We start from the raw sequence: 19614 nt of genomic DNA on the forward strand, positions 1-19614 counted from the left end.
GCTGTCACCTTGTCTCCAACTCTCCTTTCCAGCAAGTAAACCCCGCTTTTGCTTGAGGCAACACGGTCATCCAGACCCTGAGAACTGAAGAAACCCTGGTTTTCCACCCGATAGGGCCGCTCCCTGGGGCAAAGCCTGACTTCCAGGGGGCGTCTCCTAAAATCGGTTCCCAGGTTACGTGGAGGTACTGGGGGAGTGGGATGTCTTCTGCGCTCTCAAGGAGGACTGTAGAAAAACGTCTTGAGCGCTAAGAACAAAAGACCGTCACAGGGGTTGGCCCTGGGGACCAGCCAGAGCGGAGCTGTGCCTTCGCCCCGGTCCTGCGGCCGCGTCCTGGCGAGTGGAGACAGCACCCTAAGCGGCGGCCCAGGCAGGGAGAGCGCGTCCTGAGAACAGGCAGCCCACCCCACGTGGCCAGAGCTCTGCTAGGGTAGTGTCCAGGCAGAGCCCAGGCCAGCTGGGATCCGGCGCTGGGACCGCAGACCCGAACAGTGTGTTCTCCCGGGTGGCTGCGTCCCTCTCGGCCTTCTTGGAGCCCGTCCCTGTGTTTTATTGCACATTAGGGCAATTGTTGTGAACTCACCCTGGCGTGTTCCCAGGCGAGCACGGCCACCTTCTCAGGTCCCTCTGCGTACACGCATTTAGATTCCCACAGCTTAAACAGACACAATGCAGGAAGCAGCCCTTCCCGTGCCATGGAAAGATGGCATAGATTTCTGAAAGTTGAAGCCTCTTATTTGCCATCAAAGTTCAGGAAGATTTTAAAGACCTTTCCATGATGTCAAAATGAAGAACAGTATTACATACAAACAAATCTCAATTTGCCTCGACTCTAGTGAATCTCACAAAGCTGATTTGCCTCTTTTCAGGAGAATGACTCTCACAGTAAGTCAGCAAGGTTACGTAGATGTTCATACTGCCGCTAAATAGCTGGGAGCAAAACACCTTCACCATTCTGCAGGGTTACCGGAAACGCTGTTTCCAATTCTAATTTATTTTGATTAGCATTACGTAAGGTACACGGCCACAGCCTGGCCTTTGATGAATTGCTTCATCTTCCAGGCAGTTTCACCTGACGGTTTCCGATGATGCTTCAAACTTCATGGGAGGAAGAGGGGCAGCAGCTTGCATCTCATCAGCTCCCTAATGGAGCGGCAGCCAAGCTCAACTCATTATCTTACTTTGGAGTCACTCACCCAGAGCTGTATGCATCAGCCGTTAGGGATTTTTGAGGCCTGTTATATTTGAGACTAACATGGAAATAAAATATGCATTTCTTTTTGTGCTGTTCCCTCCTGAATTTTTTCTTTATTAGTTCTGGGGGTTGCATTTATGGCAATATAAAAGGTCATTTTCTAGTCCTGACTTTCACTGTTGCTTATTTTCCATGCTCCAGATAAAAACAAACTAGAAGTATGTTGGAAGGAAAATGCATTATGATACTTTAACAATATTTCATAATGAAATAAATCTTGGGTTGTATTTGAGCTATTTATGCAGAAACAAAAAATGAGTGGGCTCATCTGTAAAGGTCAGATGACATTTATTCAATAGAAGCATTGTGAAATACCAGGACAGGAATATGCCCCATAAAATAACTTATTTTCAGATTTGTGTTAAGTCATGAATTCAAGTTAGAGGTCACATTTTGTCCAGGCCTAATACCAGCTTTCCAGTCACTGGTAGCATTGACATCCCCTTGGACAGAGAAAGCACATATTAAAAATTTTAAAAGCCAGAAAGGAAAGGAAAGTCACTGCTGTTGTTGACCAATCTTTCTGTGCAAGACCCTGCGTGAGGGTCTTTACCGATGATTTCATTTACTAATTTTGGCATCAGCCTGGGAGAGGCATCATTATTCATGCTGTGCACGTGAGGGAAGTAAGGCCAAGAGACGTCACAGAACTGATTCAACACGCACCTTTAAAGCCCACCCATATTTCCATGATGCCAACCCTAAACCATGATGTGACCTGCTCCTGGGAAAATGTCTGCTGTCACAAGGTAAAGGAAGATGATCTTGTGTTCCCAGAGGCATGCTGGGCATTCAACGTGAGACCGGCTTTCCAACCAGCTGCAGGCGCTGGGGCCAGGAGCAACACTGCAGGCTGTGCTGATGACTGCTTCAGCTCTGTGCTTCATTAAAAGCTGAACTCTCCATCTCCTGGGACCCTAAATGATAGATTATTCTCATTCCTGACATCAGCAGAAGGTATGGTGTCTAGGTGATGCCACAGTCAACCGAGGTCACCAGCCATGGGCTGGGGCGGCGTGGGTGCTGTGTGAGTGTCACCCTCTAAAGCAAATGGAGGATGGTGCTGGGGCCCTGGAGCACTGAGTCTGTAGGCAGAGGAGAAAGGAGCTACCCGTTCACAACGTGGCTTCTAGAAGTTTCTTCAGCCAAGGAAGTTCTTCTTCCTGCAGAACCCTGAAGCTCCATTGTCCATTGATAACTAGAGATTGAAACAACGGAGAGGCCTCGCTGATCAGTTTAAGGAGAAATTCCATGTTTGTTTTCCTGTTTCCATGAAGGGACCTTTTTTTTTCATTTTTTATTGATGCATAATAGCTGTATATTTGCAGGGTACATGCAATATTTCAATACATGTCTACAATGTGTAATGATCAAGCCAGGGTAATTGGGAACATTTTTATTAGGTCATTTCTGCCACTGTTTCTCCCTGCAAAGCCCCTTGTGGTGAGGAGTGCCTGGTGGGAAGACTCTGAGCTAGGGAGGGCCTTGCACCCCTTGACCGGCGGCCAGGTGAGCTGCAGTGTCTGCACTCCACGTGCTGACCCCAGGCGGGGACTGCACCCACCTGCCTCAGCCCTTTCACCTGTGACTGAATGGAAAAGCCAGGGCGATTGAGGTCCTGAGGCCTGGACCCTGAGGCTCTGCTGTTTATCCAGCCAACTTGCCTGGAGCTCCACTTTGCAATGGCAGAGGTGCACGCCTTCACGTCCTTCCAGTCGGCCGGAACCCTAGGGAAAAAGATGGGTTCTGGGATTTAGACATCAAACTCCACGATATACTTTTAATCAGTTTCATTTATATTTTCACTTAATTTGGTGTCTTTACATATTGTCCTCACAAATCGTAAATAGCACAGCAAATGGAATTGTACAAAAGTGGAGAGAACGGGGGACATTAAGTTTTCCCAGCACTGTAGACTATTAATCAAATTTAGTTATTTACTAGTTAAATGCTGAAGGTCTACTGTTGGTCAGGAAGACTAATCACATTGCCAGGGGACCCTGGTCACAGTGCAGCAGTAATGAGATTAGACTTTGAAATCCCAAATGTAACCTCGTCTGACTCTGCAGGGAGGAGCTGGCAGGGAGCAGCCAGAAAGGCACTTGGGGGTCAGCACCATGCCCCTCTGTCCATTACCTACCAGTGCGAGGTCTCAAAAGACAAAACAAAGGGTGGGTTCTGCCCAAGTATGTTCAATGCATGCTCACAGTTTAGAGCCCTGATTCCCATTCTCAGGAATATTCTCTCTTCCCCTTCATGACACTGCCATGTGCCAAGTTTCTCAAAGTAATAATGTCATTTTCCTCCTTGAATTTTTCTCTCCACACAGCCTGCAGCCCGTCCTTCCCGGTGCGTGTCAGACCCATCCACCTTCCTCCGCGCCACACCTCCCAGCCAGGTTGCAGACCCTAGAGACAGCCAGAGCCCCTCACTGCCCCCTGCTCCCTTCCCCAGCCTGGACCATGCTCCCCACCTAAAAGCCTGAATAATCCTTCAAAACATAATTGAGATTTGATCACTTCCCCACTCAGACTTCTCCATATAACATAGAAGGAAACCAAGGGCTTTTCCTTCTCTGCCTGAGCCTCTGGCCCTGTGCGACCTGGTCCTGCCCACCCCAGCCCCAGGCATCGCCTCTCCTGGTCACCACGGCCTTGCTGGCCCATCTGCTCCATGATACAGCCCTTTGCTCCTCAAAGCTTTTCTTTTCCTATTTTTTCTGCCCAGAATGCTTTTCCCCACTTCAGAGTTTTCATTCCTGGATTAACTTCATTCAGAGGGGCTTCTGTGGCCGGCCTCCCTGATGGGAGATCCTCCTCCAACAGGTTCAGTAACCACTGCCCCTTCCATGTCCCATGCAGCCCTCCCTGTGGTCAGCAGTGGCCTCTCCTCAGGAGCTCACTCACGGTCAGTTTCCACAGCACAGCACAAGCTGCTCAGAAAAAAACATGCTGAAATGATAACCTCCAAGTTCTCAATGCGCAAAACGAGCCCTTAGAAACTGCAGAATGAAAAATCACTGAAGGAAGAGGATGGATGCAAAGATGAGAACTGAAAACAAAAGCTGAGATTGGCATGATGCCTGCCCAGGGGCGTGTACCTCTCCGCAGAGAGCTGAAGAGATCTGGGATAGAAACTGCTCCATTTTTCTGCACAACCCTTACACCATCTGACAGATTATTTCTCATTATTACTAAATTTGCTCTCACTGTCTGTCTCTCCTTCTCCCACTAGAAATGAGGTCCATGCAGTGGGGCCTTCCCTGGGTTTGGTTGTAAATGTGGCCCTACCACCAAGAAGACTTTCCAGTTCACAGAAAAGACTTGGTATTTGCCAAACGAACCATGAATAAGCTCCCTTTTCTTCAAGTGCATCAACAAGCAAATGCACCACAGAAACAGCATGCTCATCGAGAGATTCAGCTGACCCTAAACTTTGCATTGACTCACACTGCTGGCGTGAGATCCAGAGACACCAAGCAGCCAGCCTTCTACGGAGGGGCCTCACCTGGCTTCGTTTGACTTTTCTGCTCTGGAAACACCTGTCGGAATTCAAGGGTGAGGTAGCCACCAGCAGCTGTGAGTTCATAAGCAATGAGAATTGGATAATGTATATAAATATATACACGTGTCTGCATGCATGTATGTGTGTATGTATCTTATATTTTTTGTTAATACTCCCCAGGGCCAAGGCACTAAGACACACTTGTGTGTGTGTGTATTTGTGTGTGTGTGCATAAACATGTATGTTGCCTTTCTGGGCAGCACGTATGGGCCTCTATGAGTAAACTGAGAGAGGTTTGTGAATTTCTGTAAATATGTGTCTACTGTCTCCCAGAATGAAACAAATGCCACTTGTTGAAGACTAGCTTCCCCCAGAGAGAGACTGAGATGGAGGCCCAGGGAGTTTGCTGGAGACCTGCACCGGCCGTCTGGGTGTTGGGACCTTCCGAGTGGTCCCATCAAGGCTGGGTCAGCACCCTTGTGCCTCTGCCCCTCCACTGCGCTGAGCCTCAGGAGGGAGGCTGCCTAGCCAGCAGTGTCACCTGGGCCAGGGGCTGCCATCACAGCCATCTACAGAGGGACCTCGGGGACGCTCAGCCCTGTAGCCCCATCTTGGGGGTACACAGTGACTGTTCACCAGCGATTCTAAAACTTCACAGTTTTAAATTTGATTATGTCACACAAAAATTTTGTTGCTTTTCAGATATAATTATAGTAAGATTAAGTGGGACACTGTCCTGCATGGAGTCAATTAGCACTGATTAAATTGAGTGAAGATACAGACCTCCTGCCACCTGCATCCCTGTCCAGATTTCTACAGAACTGCAGCATGCCCACGAGCACTGTCTCTTCCTTGCTGATTCTACACTGGGTTAAACCTCCTGACTCAGAGGCAGGACTAATGCAGTTATCGGTGAAACACTAAGTGAGGTGCTAGATGCAGGTGCATGAGGAGAGCCCGTGCTGCTCACAGAGGGGAGTCTGCAGCCTTTGTTTCCTTGATCCCGTCTTTCTTTGTGCGGCCTGCAGCAAAGGCATAAACAAAGGACTTTAATAAAATGGGAAATGGGATCGGACTTCAATGTTGCCTCGACACAACTGTAATTACAATCTAATTCTGCAGGTAAAAAAACTGAGGCTCACCAGGAAAAGCAACCCACTAAGGAGACAGTCTCAGAACACGCTGTAAGATAGGCAGCCTTTCGGGAAACACCGGCCACTGTTCCTGATGGGCTCTGATCCTGTAGTGAGGATGTGGAATCCAGCATGAAAGCTTTTTACAGCGGGAACTCACTCTCCATAGGCGAAGCTGCGATCTCCATCATTTTCTCTCCATCCTCTGTGCATGGCGGCATCTGCTGCTCAGAAGCCGCCTCTCCTGATCTTGCTGGAATGAAAGAACCCAACTCCTTTTGTCGTCAACCCAAAATAAGAGAAGAGAACAGCCACAGGTGGTGGTCATGTTCCTTCCAACTCCACCAGGAGGCCAGGCCCACCAGTGGGTGCTAGGAAAATTCACAGCGCCAACAGTAAACATAACATACCTTCCTGATGGAATTTCTTTTTGTGATTCCCTTGTGTTTTAAATTCTCCTGTTTGTATTAATTATACTTGACCAACTTTCTAATATAAAAAGTTTATATCATGCTCAGAAATAAATTATTAATGATTACCAAATAAAGCAAATTACTATTGTATTTTCTAGGTAAGCATGGAGTATGTAAATGCTATTATTATCATTACCCAAATTATTAACTAAGATAACGAAGGCTTTATTCTTGAGTTTTAAATTCCTGGTTGAACAAACCTTGTTATATTTGACACTTCCTGTGAAGGCTTAAGAAAACACAGGACTGAGAAAGTGATGTCTGTGGTCATCAAGGAACAGGTGCTGGGGTGTCCTCTGCCACCCACAGGCTAGCTGAGCACCGCGTGCGGAATGCTGGGTACCCTCCCGCTCAAAGCAGGGCTGTGTGTAAGTTATTATATTTATTTACAACAGAGTCTCAGTCGATTTGATGGGGTGAGACCGGGTGTTGCCCTGGTAGTGATGTCCGGATCATTTGCATAGTTTTTCCCTAACAAGTAATTTTAGAGAAAATGATGTGTGGCACAACCAACAAGAATGAAGTCCAAATATCCAAAACAGAAACCGAATTACAAAATGCTGGGCCAGGGCACACAGTGGGGCCGGTCACTCTTGAGTGCCTCTTACTGCTCATTACCTGCCAGGACCCTTCTTGCTGGGCATCCCGACCCTCAAATAAACACTTTCTGAAACAGGCCACTCGAAGGGGTCAGTGCCGTAAGCAAGTAATTCCTACAACCACAACTATTTTTAAAACATGATTCTGGACGTTCCAATCAATCCAATTAAACGTGAGATTAAATTTTTTTATGTAACTATGTTTCCATTTTTTCCATATAGGAGACATGCAATAACTATTTCCTAAGTAAATGAACAATTGAAAGATGAGTAAAGGGTGTTGTTTAAATCAGGTTGCTCGGTGCCGAGTGACTCAACCTTGTTGTGTGCCTCCTCTGCGTGCCCAGGGATTTACTGTTGTCGAGCAGGAAGAAGCCTGGCCGTGACTGTGTTTGGCAGCGTAGGTTTGTTCCTTTTTGAAATTAGGACACAAGTCCCCAGGCAGGCTTGTTGGGACTCCAGCGAGGTAGCTTTTCCATCACTGAAGGAAACGTAGCAGGCAGCGTCACCGGAGCAGGGCACGGCAGGTTCGGTCAGAACGGCCCCGGGGCAGCTCTTGAAAAACACCAGCATCTACAGATCCCACAGAGACCTTGACGCCCACGTTGCCCTGAGGTTAGAGACCCCCGAATTGGAAGTGAGCAGGAACTAGACGGTGCGGGGGCACCGAAGTTCACACGGGAAGAGGTGGGATGATGTTCGCGTATTAAACACACAGAACGCTGACACAGGCGCACGGGACAGCCACGGCTCCTCTGCTGGGGGCGCTCCGATTTTCACCTCACCAGAAAAGCCATCAAGCTGCCCGAGTTACTGGGGCATAAAAATAGATAACTCAAAAGGATTTGAAACCGCAGCGCAATTATAATACGTGAATTTGAATTAACCAAATGTGAAATAGTAAGATAAAAATATATTTTAAAAGTTCTAATTTATATGCAGAATTTAAAATAATTCAAATCTCCCAAGGTATAAAAATCACATAATTTCAAAGCTGTTGGAATTTGTGTAGTGTGAACACTTTCACATATCAGAAAATAAAGATCTATAGTATCCTTTTTTAATTACTGCAAAATAGTCTACAGTAGGAGCGTACCATTATTTATAGCATAACATTCTCAAAAGGACTTTCAGGAAGAAAGTGTGAAATATGAACTTACATATAGAGATTTATAAAATGAAATATTTACTAATTATCTTATACCTTAAAGTAAAAATATTTTAAATGTAATTAATTGTTCATGCTTTAATTTGTAACAAACTTTAAACTTCTAGTACTAGGCAATATATATTTTACCTTTGATCTACTTATCTATGATCTAGCTATCTATCATTGTCTATCATCTATATATTTATCTATCAATTATACCAATTGATAGATAATCAATCATCTATCACGAGTCATCTATCAATCATCTATTATATATGTTTCAACTGTCTGTCATCATCTATCACCTACGTATCATCTATCTCATCTATTCTATCATCTACTTACGATCTATAATCTATCATCTCTCTACCATCTGTCATCTATCTATTCTATAATCTATTCACCATTTATTATCTCTTTATCATATATTACCTATCTACCATCTGCAATTGATCAACCTAACCAACTGTCATCTATTTATCTATCGTTTTTCCATCTATATATTACCTATTTATCATGTATCTACTAGCTACCATCTATCATCCCTATCTATCTATCTATCTTGATCATTTTTCTGTAGACCTAATAACCTGCTTCTCTGCTCCCCTTAAAGGTAAACTTCCCTTAAAAGTTGGTTACCTTCCATTTATGCTTTAAAAAAGTTTTTACAAACTATTATGTCATTTGAAATTTGTATCAAATAACACCATAAGGCCTTTGGACTGGTGGCTTAGGATATTTATTTGGTACTAAGCGTAGATGATTTTTAAAACACTCCTCCTTCACACAAAAAGTTACTTTCCCTAGTAGTTACGAAATATAACAAATAATAATGGTCAGAAAAGAAATGCACCCAGTGAAAATTTTCTTTCATTGGACTTTGTATAATTATGTCTTTAAATTACTTGTTTAATTAATAAGCAATATAGAACAAAAAGGGTAAATTAATATATTAATACTTTTAATTATATTGACATAATTCTTGAAAAAAGGTTAAATGTGTATTAAATATTGGTCCTTCACAGTAATGGGTAGCTACTTCACAGTTTCTATTGTTAAGCATTAACTTTCACAAAGTACTCAATGCTTTCTGAAAATTCAATGATGATCTTTGCACAGTCATGTTTGCTGAAAGATGCTCCCAGATCTGTCAGTCCTCCACCAGGAACCTAACAGACATTTCATTAATTTAATTTTAATTATTTAATTAATTGTTTAAATTAATAATTTAATAATTAAATAAATTTAATTATTTAATTAAAAATTTAATTATTTAATAAACAATTATTTAATTATTTAATTATTTACATGAAGCAAAAGATATACCAGCACAAAGAAAAGTCTTAAGTATTGAGATAATTTTGGTCAAACTTCATAAATATTTCATTTCACAATAAATTCCAGGAATTGCAATACTGCCCATGTTTCTGTTCCTTTGGGATTGATTCTAGATGCTTCCAAATGTCTCCAGTTATGAACACATTCTTTTTCTACTTTTTTGTATTTTTTTCTAGCCTTTCCTTATACGTTCCAGAAGCTACTTATTTTTAGAGAACATGGAATCACTAAAGTTTTGTAATATATCATGACATCTAGTAAAAAAAAATCACCATCCTGTGATTTTTTTTTCAAAATTGCCTTGTTTACATGAATTTTGGAATAACATTTTCAAAGTTTATATAAAACTCTGTCAAGATTTTTACTGGAATTACACAGAATATAAGAATTTTTTAGAGGACAGATGACATCTTTATGATAATACATGTGTCTATCCATGGATATTGTATATGAGTCCTTTCTTATTTAATTTTGTTCAATACAAAGTGATATTTTCTTTATTATATTCTCTCAGTTAAACTGAGTGGACAAACATATCATCTGTCAATAATAACAGGGATTATTTTTTGAATTCTTATAGCTTTTATCTTCTTGGTTTACAGCATGCATTATGACTTCAATAACAATGTTGAATAAAAATGCTATTTGTCATCATCTTTGGTTCTCTTCTAATTAAGTATAATGTTTGCTCTATTTCCCAGTAAATAACCTTCATCAGTTTTCTAAAATGTTTACTTCTCTTGGTTTCCTAAAAGTTAACTATTTAAATCAGAAATGAGTGTTTAATTTATTGAAATGCTCTTTTTATTATATCTATTAGGAAGGTCATATGGTTTTGATTTTTAGTTTAATGGTAACTTTTATGACAGTAATGTAGTTGTAATATTAAAACTCTTCCTTTTTGAAATTATCGTAAATTTGTCTTAATATGTTTTGTTTACTTGTGTGTGTGTTGTGTTTATATTTTGCTACAGATGATTGAGCAACAAAATTAACAGTCTTGATCTAACAGATGTACAGTTTCACATCAAAGACCTGGGAAATGCATGTTTTCTTCAAGCACATGTGAAACATCCCAGTATCAACCATGTATCAGGCCAGAGAACAAATTGATGTCATTACAAAAAGTTAGTGTAAGACATAAAACTTCCTTGATAGCAGTAGCATTAAGTTAGATATATAAAAAAAGTTATTCTAATATACAACAGCATACATTTATCAAATAAATTAAATCTACATTTCACTCTGAATAAAAGAAATATCAAATGAAAATTATAAAATAGAGATGAATAATAATGAAAATAATATACATTAAGTTTGGGGAATACAGCTAAAGCAGTATGTAGAGGGCAATTTATAGTCATAGGTGCTCCTAATGGAGCTCATTATTAAAGGGCTAAAAAAAAATCCCTTAAGTATATAACTAAAGGTTTATGCCACTAAATTAATTAAATCAGCAGTTTAAAATATTATCAGGGTCAATAGTTTTATGGACCTGTCCAATTTTATGAGAAAAAAATGAAAAAAAGTTTTACATGAATTACATCAACATATCAAAGTATAGCTAATCCCAAATTTTAAGTCATTGTAAAAACAAAGCTAAAGTAATACTTTCAAAATGTTTGTTTTAAAGTTTTGATGAGCCTTTTGTAAGCAGATTTGACTATGTGTATTTTTTTATTTTTGATTTAACAATCAATTCAATTTTGATTTTGATTTAACATGTTTTGTCCATTTATTTTCATTTTGATGGGAGATATATTTGAGTTGATGTTTAGTGGCTTATTTTATGGTTTATATTTATCTAAGTTGTTAACAGTGTTTCATATTCTACTATCCTGACTCCTATTAGATTGAGTGATTTAGTTCACATTTTCCCTTTCTTGTTAACTTTTTATTTTGTAAGTAACCATTATTGAAACTGACATGAATCTAAACACTGTCTAAAGGTAATTTAAAGTCCTAAAGTGCAGTTTTTGGGGGGAAGATTTTTGGCAATAAGTTCTATTTTAATGGTTACTGGGGAAATATATTGTCTATTTTAGTAAGTTATGTTTTTTAATAATTTGTTAAATATTTTATTTTGTTTACTCTGAAGTCTATAATGTTAGACACACTTTTATTCTTGATATCCTCATGCTGAAGTAAATTTTTTTGCAAGTCCTTGTAGAGATTTGCCAATTTTATTACTGTTTTCAAATGACTATTCTCATCTTCAGGTTTTCTATATTATGATGTTTTCTATTTTGTTAATTGCCACTCTAATCTTTACAACTCTTTCCTTCTTGATGCTCACTTGTTGACATTTTTCTAACTTCTTGAGATGACGGTAATTAATTATCGGCCTTTCTTCTTTTCTACTACACACATTTTAATACCATACATCACCATCTACATAACCGGGTGCACCTCACCCCATCTGTCACCTCTGGTCCTGCACTAGGTCTCTGCAATCTGTGCCTGATACAAACCAGGGTGGCATTTTTGAATTAAATATAATCATGTCCTGTCCCTACTGAAACCCTCCAAGTTTTCTCCAATTCTCTTGAGCTATATAATCCAATGTCCTTCCGTTTCCTAAGAAACCTACATGATCATATGATGCCCCCTCTCCAGTGTCCCTGAAACCCCCCGCTGTGGTGGGGATGTTGCTCTCCCTTGGCTTCCTTTGGCCTGGACTGTTTTCCACTTAGTTGTCCCACGACTTCCTTTTTGTCCTTGATCTCATCTCAAGGATCCCCACCCCCTTCCATCATGGCCCCGGCTTATTTCTTAGAGAGCTGTCACAATCCGCAGCTACCCTGCTTCATTGTGTTTGTGTGTCTTTATCATTTAATTCCTTCTTAGAGAAGGTCTGCTCCCAAGGGAGGAAAACATTTTTATTTTTCTTACCTCTGTTTGTTTTACCACCTCTTATGTGGTAAGAGAAACAGAGGTAAGAAAAATAAAATGTCAGTCAGCATTTGCTGATGGGATAAATGAATGAAGCCAAGCAGTGTCTGAGGGGTCTAAGGGCCTGGTGCCCACAGACAGTGCTGTCAGTCGTCTCTTCACCCACCAGTCCCATCACGGTCTCGTCTCAGTTTTCTTCCTCTGTAATTACTGAATTGAGTGAGTTCACCTTTGAAGGGATAGCTGCTAATGACATCGCCAGATACAGAAGAACATCATGAAGTTATAGAAATATGCAGATGCAGGTATTCCTTATCATCAATGTAGGGTGCTGGGTGCTCCAGGGAGGCCTAGGAACATGGATGGGTCTGGTCCTGACCCCCAGTGCCCCAGCTTCTCACAGCACATGGTGCAGAAAAGCACCTGAGGGTCGGCAGCCGAGCGGGGAAGCAGCAGACACAGGCATGCGCCTGGGAGACTCGGCAGATACCACAGGGAGACTTGAGCCCGGCCCCCAGGGATAGCAGCAGGCACTCTGACCATCTGCATGCATATCTATCTGTATTTATTTATTTTGGGACAGAGTCTCACTCTGTCGCCAAGACTGGAGTGCAGTGGCGCGATCTCGGCTCACTAAAACCTCTGCTTCCTGGGTTCAAGCAATTCTCCTGCCTCAGGCTCCTGAGTAGCTGGGATTACAGGCGTGTGCCACCATGCCCAGCTAATTTTTCGTGTGTATTTTTAGTAGAAACAGGGTTTCATCAAGTTGGCCAGGCTGGTCTTGAACGCCTGACCTCAACTGATCTTCCCACCTCGGCCTCCCAAAGTACTAGGATTACAGGTGTGAGCCACTGCGCCCAGCTATGTGTTTATATTTATGTGCATTTCTGTATTAATTCGAAGTGACTCCCTTAGCCAAGATTCCTGCCACTCCTTTAATGTATGACTCAGGCACTTTGTCCTTGCTTCAGTGACTGTGATTTAGGTGCCTTTGATTGGAAGTTGACTGAAAGTTCTTGTTACAGGCGACAGACCAAGGCCGAGACTGAGAAAGAGACAGGAGAAGGGAGGGGAAGGGCAGAAGTCCACAGCTGGGAGCACAGGGATTCGGGTGACTTATGCTGGGGCCTATTTCTCGTTCATCCCTACAACTGGCTCAGGTCTCTGTGTTTTCCTACTGACATCATCTTCCTCATTACACATCACGCTGAATTTTTCAGTATGTCAATTCACGTCACTTATTTTAATTCCATCCAGTTGCGTGTGACAAACCTGAATATCCCATCCATTTCGTGCCCAGGTTTTTAGACTTTTGCTTCCAGGAGCATTTCCCAACCTTGCTGCTTGTGCACTGCGTGCCTTGGTCCCAGGCTGGAGCATCGTGTGAATGAATCTGTTTCCGGCAGGCATGGGGTGAGGTTTATATCAGCCTTCATTAAGCAGTAATCACAGCCTGCCGCTAGACGCACATTTCCCACACACATGGGATTGCAGGAAGCTAACATTCGCCTCTTCTGTTTTATTTTCTGCCACCCTTGCTTGAAAGTTCAATTCATGAGTAATATATTAGGTGGGAAGATAAGTAAGGTTTATCCTTTAGCTAACATTTATTACAATAATAACAAAGTACATACTATACACCTCATTGTTTATAATTGCAAAGTACTGAGGTTACCTATTTTGATGAAAAATGTCTTAAAACATTAAGATTTTAAGCATGATTACGTCCATATTACTAATATTTTAATTCTGCTACCTTAAATATCTATCATTGACACATTAAATATGCTATTGCAGGAAAGCTGATTTAAAAAAATCACAGCTTTAAATATATATTATATTATTTCACAATGGCTAAAATTCCTTTTATATGTTGAGGTTGCTTTTCATTACTCATGAGTCAAAAGAGCTTTATAATCCTCTTATTGACGGTATCTTTAACTTTTTTAAATGAAAATTTTAGCTGAAGGTGAATATATTTTGCTTAAAAAGTTAACATGGACAATAATACCTCATGTCCCCAATTGATTTGGCCTTGGCATATGACATTTGCTATCTCTTCAGTAAACATATTTGTATAATATCGAGCATATTATGCAATACATATAAGTGTATTTAGCAATTAAGCCAAATAAAATTATGCTTGTTTTAACAGTTCATACCAGTTTTCACATCTAGCTTTGTTGGATATTTTTTACAGTTACGGTTACTTTTAGGGCTGGAGTGAGGTCTGGCTGGTGTACGAATGATCCGTCTTGTTAAAATGAAGAAGCACGAATTACTCAGTGAGGCGTGGCCAACTGTGTTTTTAGAGAAAGTCCCCCGGCGCTCAGGGCTTTGTGTTTTCTGGAATGCGAGGTGACAAGCCCGGTCCCAGGTGGCCCCGGACGCCGCTGGCTGCCACTTTCCCCGCCGTCCCCAGCTGTTGGAGCCGAGGCGGAGGGATGGCGCCGTCCGTCCCAGGAGGGAAACGGTGGCCCCCAAGGCCGGGACGCAGGTGGCGCTGCAGTCGGAACTGGGATGTGGACCCCCGGCCCGGGACGCGGTTAAAAGGTCCAGCAACCCCACAGGCCCGTGGGGTCTGCGCTGCTCCAGGCGCCCGGATTCACCGTCCAGCCGGGGCCCTGACCCCGGGTCCGTCCACGCGGCTGCGATGCTCGGTCATCCTGGCTCCGGCCCACCCCGGGGAGACAGGCCCCTCACCGGCCCCTCTGAGGAGCAGGGCCAACACGCCGCGGGCTCTGCCGGCCCCGCAGGCCTCGGGTTCCATCGCAGCAGCGTGGCCTGATGACTCCATTTTGTCGCTGCGGAGGAGCCGCACCGAGTCCACAGCGCCAGTGCGGGGGAGCCGCGCCGGGGAAGAGGGAGGAGGCGCGTCCACAGCAGCCTCGTGTCTCCACATGGGACGTTTCCTCGGCGGGGACCCGGCGCGCCCAGGGGCTCAGGCTCGCTCAGGCCTACGGAGGCGGGTGTATCCGCGTCCGGCCCGACTTGTGAGGAAACAGCACACGTGAAGCGAGCGGAGTCGGCGCAGCCTGGAACAGGGTGAATCCGCAGAGTCCTCGGCCGCGCATGGCGGCTCTGTCAGCTCCAGGGACACAGGGACCGTCCCCGGGCCCATCAGCGCAATCGGGAGGGCGTCCGTGTGCCCACAGGCCCAGCTACACCTCCACAAAGCTGGGAAAGACGAACACGGGCCACCCTCAGCCACCTGCCCGGACCGCTGCGAGGCCCACGGGAGGGAAGACGCGCCCTGGCACGCGGTGTGGTAACCGCCCTTGGACGCGGCGGCGCTTTGGGCGGGAAGAACCGCGAATTCCAGAACATTTGGGATCATTTGTTAAAAGAAAAATCCTCGGGCGCCACCTAGCGCTGACATGCTGCCTAACTCTTCTCAGCCCTCATTTTAGAGAACGGAAAATGAAGCCCAAGTTATTGACTATAAAATGGGAAAAAACTAAAACATTGCAATATGCAGATTGCATCACACATATTATCTTAGCAGGTTTTCTTGCACTTGCCTTGCAGATAAATAGGACATATCTAGGTGGTGCTGTGTCCAATAAAATAACACATCTGAACTCAGGTAAGGAAGGGTTCTCTCAACAGGGAGAGGTTCCAGCCAGGAGACCCCGAAGCGTCTCCCACTCAGGAAGACATGTGCTTCTCTGATATGAGAAGGAATGACCACCGCCAGAGCGACGCCCTATGGGGGAGGATGGGCGAGATGGTCAGCGGGAGGGGTCTTAGGCTGGGGTTAGCAGACGCTTGGAGAAGCAGGCCAGGGCTTGCTACTCCCTGTACGGAGCACTGGATGGCTCCGTCACTGTGGGTGTCTCGTCCACCGTGGTCAGTTACTTGTGAGACAAGAACAGGGAATTTGGAAGGTCTGAGCTTGGCCTGCCCGGGTAGAAAGAGGACCCCTGGGTCTCCTCTACGACCTGCGAGGAAGGTGATCTTCGCAGGGAACCATTTCTGGAACGTGGAGGGTGGAGCTTCTTGACCATCCTTTTGCAGGGCCTCGAAACTCAAGTGAAGTTCGGTGTCAGTAGAAACTCTGTGTTGCTTCTACGCATGGCTGGACACATGTGCTTCTAGCCTTGGCCACTTGATTCCTGGTTGTATAGGTTTTATGTGTACAGTCATGCATTGCTTAACGCTGGGGGTACATTCTGAGAAATGCATTGTTAGGCAATTTTGTCATTGTGCAAACATCAAAACATCATAGGGTATATGTGAACAGAGTCTAGAAGTTACAGCCTATGACACACCTCAGCCATAAGGTGTAGCCTCGTGCTCCTAGGCTACGAACCTGTACAGCAGATGGCTGTGCTGGAACTGCAGGGAGCTGTAACACAGTGGAGAGTGTGTATCTAAACATAGCTACACGTAGAAGAGGTGCAGTAAAAATATGGTATAAAAGATAAACATGGTGCACCTGTATAGGGCACTTACCACGAAAGGAGCTTGCAGGATGGAAGTTGTTGCTCTGGGTGTTGGTGAGTGAGTGGTGAGTGTCTGTGAAGGCCTAGACTCTCAGACATTTCTGTCCACTACTGTTGACTTTATATACACTGTACACTTAGGCAACACTCAGTTCATCGCAAATATTTCTCTTTTCTCAATAATAAATTAAGCTTAGCTTAACCTTAATGAAATAACTTTTTACTTTATAAACTTTTAAGTTTTTAATCTTTTTGACTCTTTGTAATAACACTTGGCTTAAAACACAAACACATTGTACAGATGTACAAAAATATTTTCTTTCTTTATATCCTTGTTCTATAAGCTTTTTTAATTTTATTTTTACTTTTACTTTTTTTAACCTTTTTTGTTAAAATCTGAGACACAAACACACACATTAACCTAGGCCTACACAGGGTCAGGATCGTCAACATCACTATCCTAACCCTAACCCTCCACATCTTGTTCCCTGGAAGGTCCTCAGGGGCAGTAACACACATGGCGCTGTCATCTCTAATGCCTTCTTCTGGAATCCTCCCCGAAGGGTCTGCCGCAGACTGTTTGACTGTTAACCAGTTTTTTTTTTTAAGTAGAAGGGGTACATTCTAAAATAATGCTAAAAATATAGTGTAGCAGCAGTCCCCAACCTTCTTGGAACCAGGGACTGGTTTTGTGGAAGACAGTTTTTCCATGGACCAGAGTTGAGGGGAATGGTTTCTGGATAAAACAGTTCCAGCTCAGATCATCAGGCATTAGATTCTCATAAGGAGTGCACAACCTAGATCCCTCTCATGCACTTTTCACAACAGGGCTCTCACTGGATTCTCCTGTGAGAATCCAGTGCCGCTGCTGATCTGACAGGAGGCAGAGCTCAGGCAGTGACACTCACTCACATGCCATTCACCTCCTGCTGTGCCACAGTTCCTAACAGGCCACAGGCTGGTACTGGTTTACGGCCTGGGGATTGGGAACCCCTGTAGAATAATAGATACATGAAAGAGCGACACAGTCATTTATTATTAATCATACTGTACATAGTTGTGTGTGCTACACTTTTATACAACTAGCAGTGCGACAGGTTTGTTTACACCAGCGTCAGCACCCACACGTAAGGAAAGTGTTGTATTGGGACCTTAGCATGGTTACAATGGCTGCATCTGTCCTGGGCAGCAGGGATTTTCAGTATATGCAGCCCATTCTTTACCGAAATGTTATGTGGCCCATGAACACATATGCGTATGTATAGATATGACGAACTGTCAGTAGGTGTGCACAAAATTAGGAACCTCTAATCTCCAGAGAAAACAATCCCTACTTTTGCTCAAAATAAAGAAGCACAGGTTAACTAAGACATTGACTTGATGGGGAAACCCTGGTTGTTCCTCTCAGTCTGGCAGTTCTAGGGTCTTGAATTAATGAGAACATCAACTGTGTGAGTTAACATTGTGAGTACACAGTCCTCAAATGGATGCCAGGAAGAACCCAAGAGCTCTGCCCTCTCTCCAGCATCCCCCGTGACTGTCTCACCCGTGGAGACACCGGGCTTGTATCTTTAATGTCTGCTGTATTAGCTGGAATCATTCCCAAGGTGCTGATTTTGTAGAATACAAACTGTAGAATATTGGCAGTCTCACCTGCAGAGAATCAAACGAGTGAGCCGCCAAGGTGCTGTTGAGGATTGCATGTCTGCACCCACAGCCATGCTTGTGACTGCCAGGGAAGCTGGAGGCCACCAAGCCACAGAAAAACAGTGGAACGGAGCCTTTTGGATCTGCTCACAAAATATGGCAACTCTTAGAAAACAAACAAAACTGTGAGGCACAGTCACATTAACCTGCACCCGTGAGGGCATCTCAGTTCTTTGTCTTAAACGCCCCAGAGGAGATGTAAATGAGGGTAATTGACCAAATCCCAGAACTCTTGGCTGGAACTAGGTGGTTCAAAGACATTTTTGGATGAGGTTCTTAAATTCTAATAAATTACTCTACATTTAGAGGTGCTAGTAACTGGGCCTCATCACAAGAGTGAACCCCAGACCTCGCAGGATGAGAGAGACAGTTAATTTTGACAAAGAAAATGCATCTGAACATTAATGTTGTCAATGTCCTAGAATTCCAGGTGTCTTTAATTTAGTCAGCATGTGAAACAAACTTTCTATACATGGTTTTATCTTAACACACAAGCTAAGTCTCCAAAAAAATCTCAGGATTGCAATTAGCTCAAAGAGCTTAAGCTAATCAAATAGCTTTTAAAATTAAGTTTTAATGCCTGCTGCTATATTAATGTGCTATATTTCTGTGGCTGAATCTATGCACATTTTAGAGATTCATTGCTTAAAGTTGTGCTTCCAAAAATTACCCAAAGAAAATTTCACATATCCATAGACATAGGCACACCACCCACCACATATATACACATATGCACACAAGCTCACAGACACCAATACACACACATGAACACATATACAGCATGCACACATATACACACTTGTACACAGGTGCACACACACCCATATATGCAGATATATACACACATGCACATGCATACTTATACACATTTATACATACATGCATATGTGCACACACACCCATATTCACATATACACACCCATATGAACATGTGTATGTATACAAATACACATACACAATTGTACACTTTTATACATACATGCATGTGTGCACACACCCATATAAACACACATACATACTACCTACACATGCACACACATACACACTTTTACACATTTATGCATACATGCACATGTGCACATGCACCCATATAAACACATATGCACCCACATGAACAC

The sequence above is a fragment of the Homo sapiens genome, chromosome 2 (assembly GCF_000001405.40).
Source record: "Homo sapiens chromosome 2, GRCh38.p14 Primary Assembly".
Classification (NCBI taxonomy): Eukaryota; Metazoa; Chordata; class Mammalia; order Primates; family Hominidae; genus Homo; species Homo sapiens.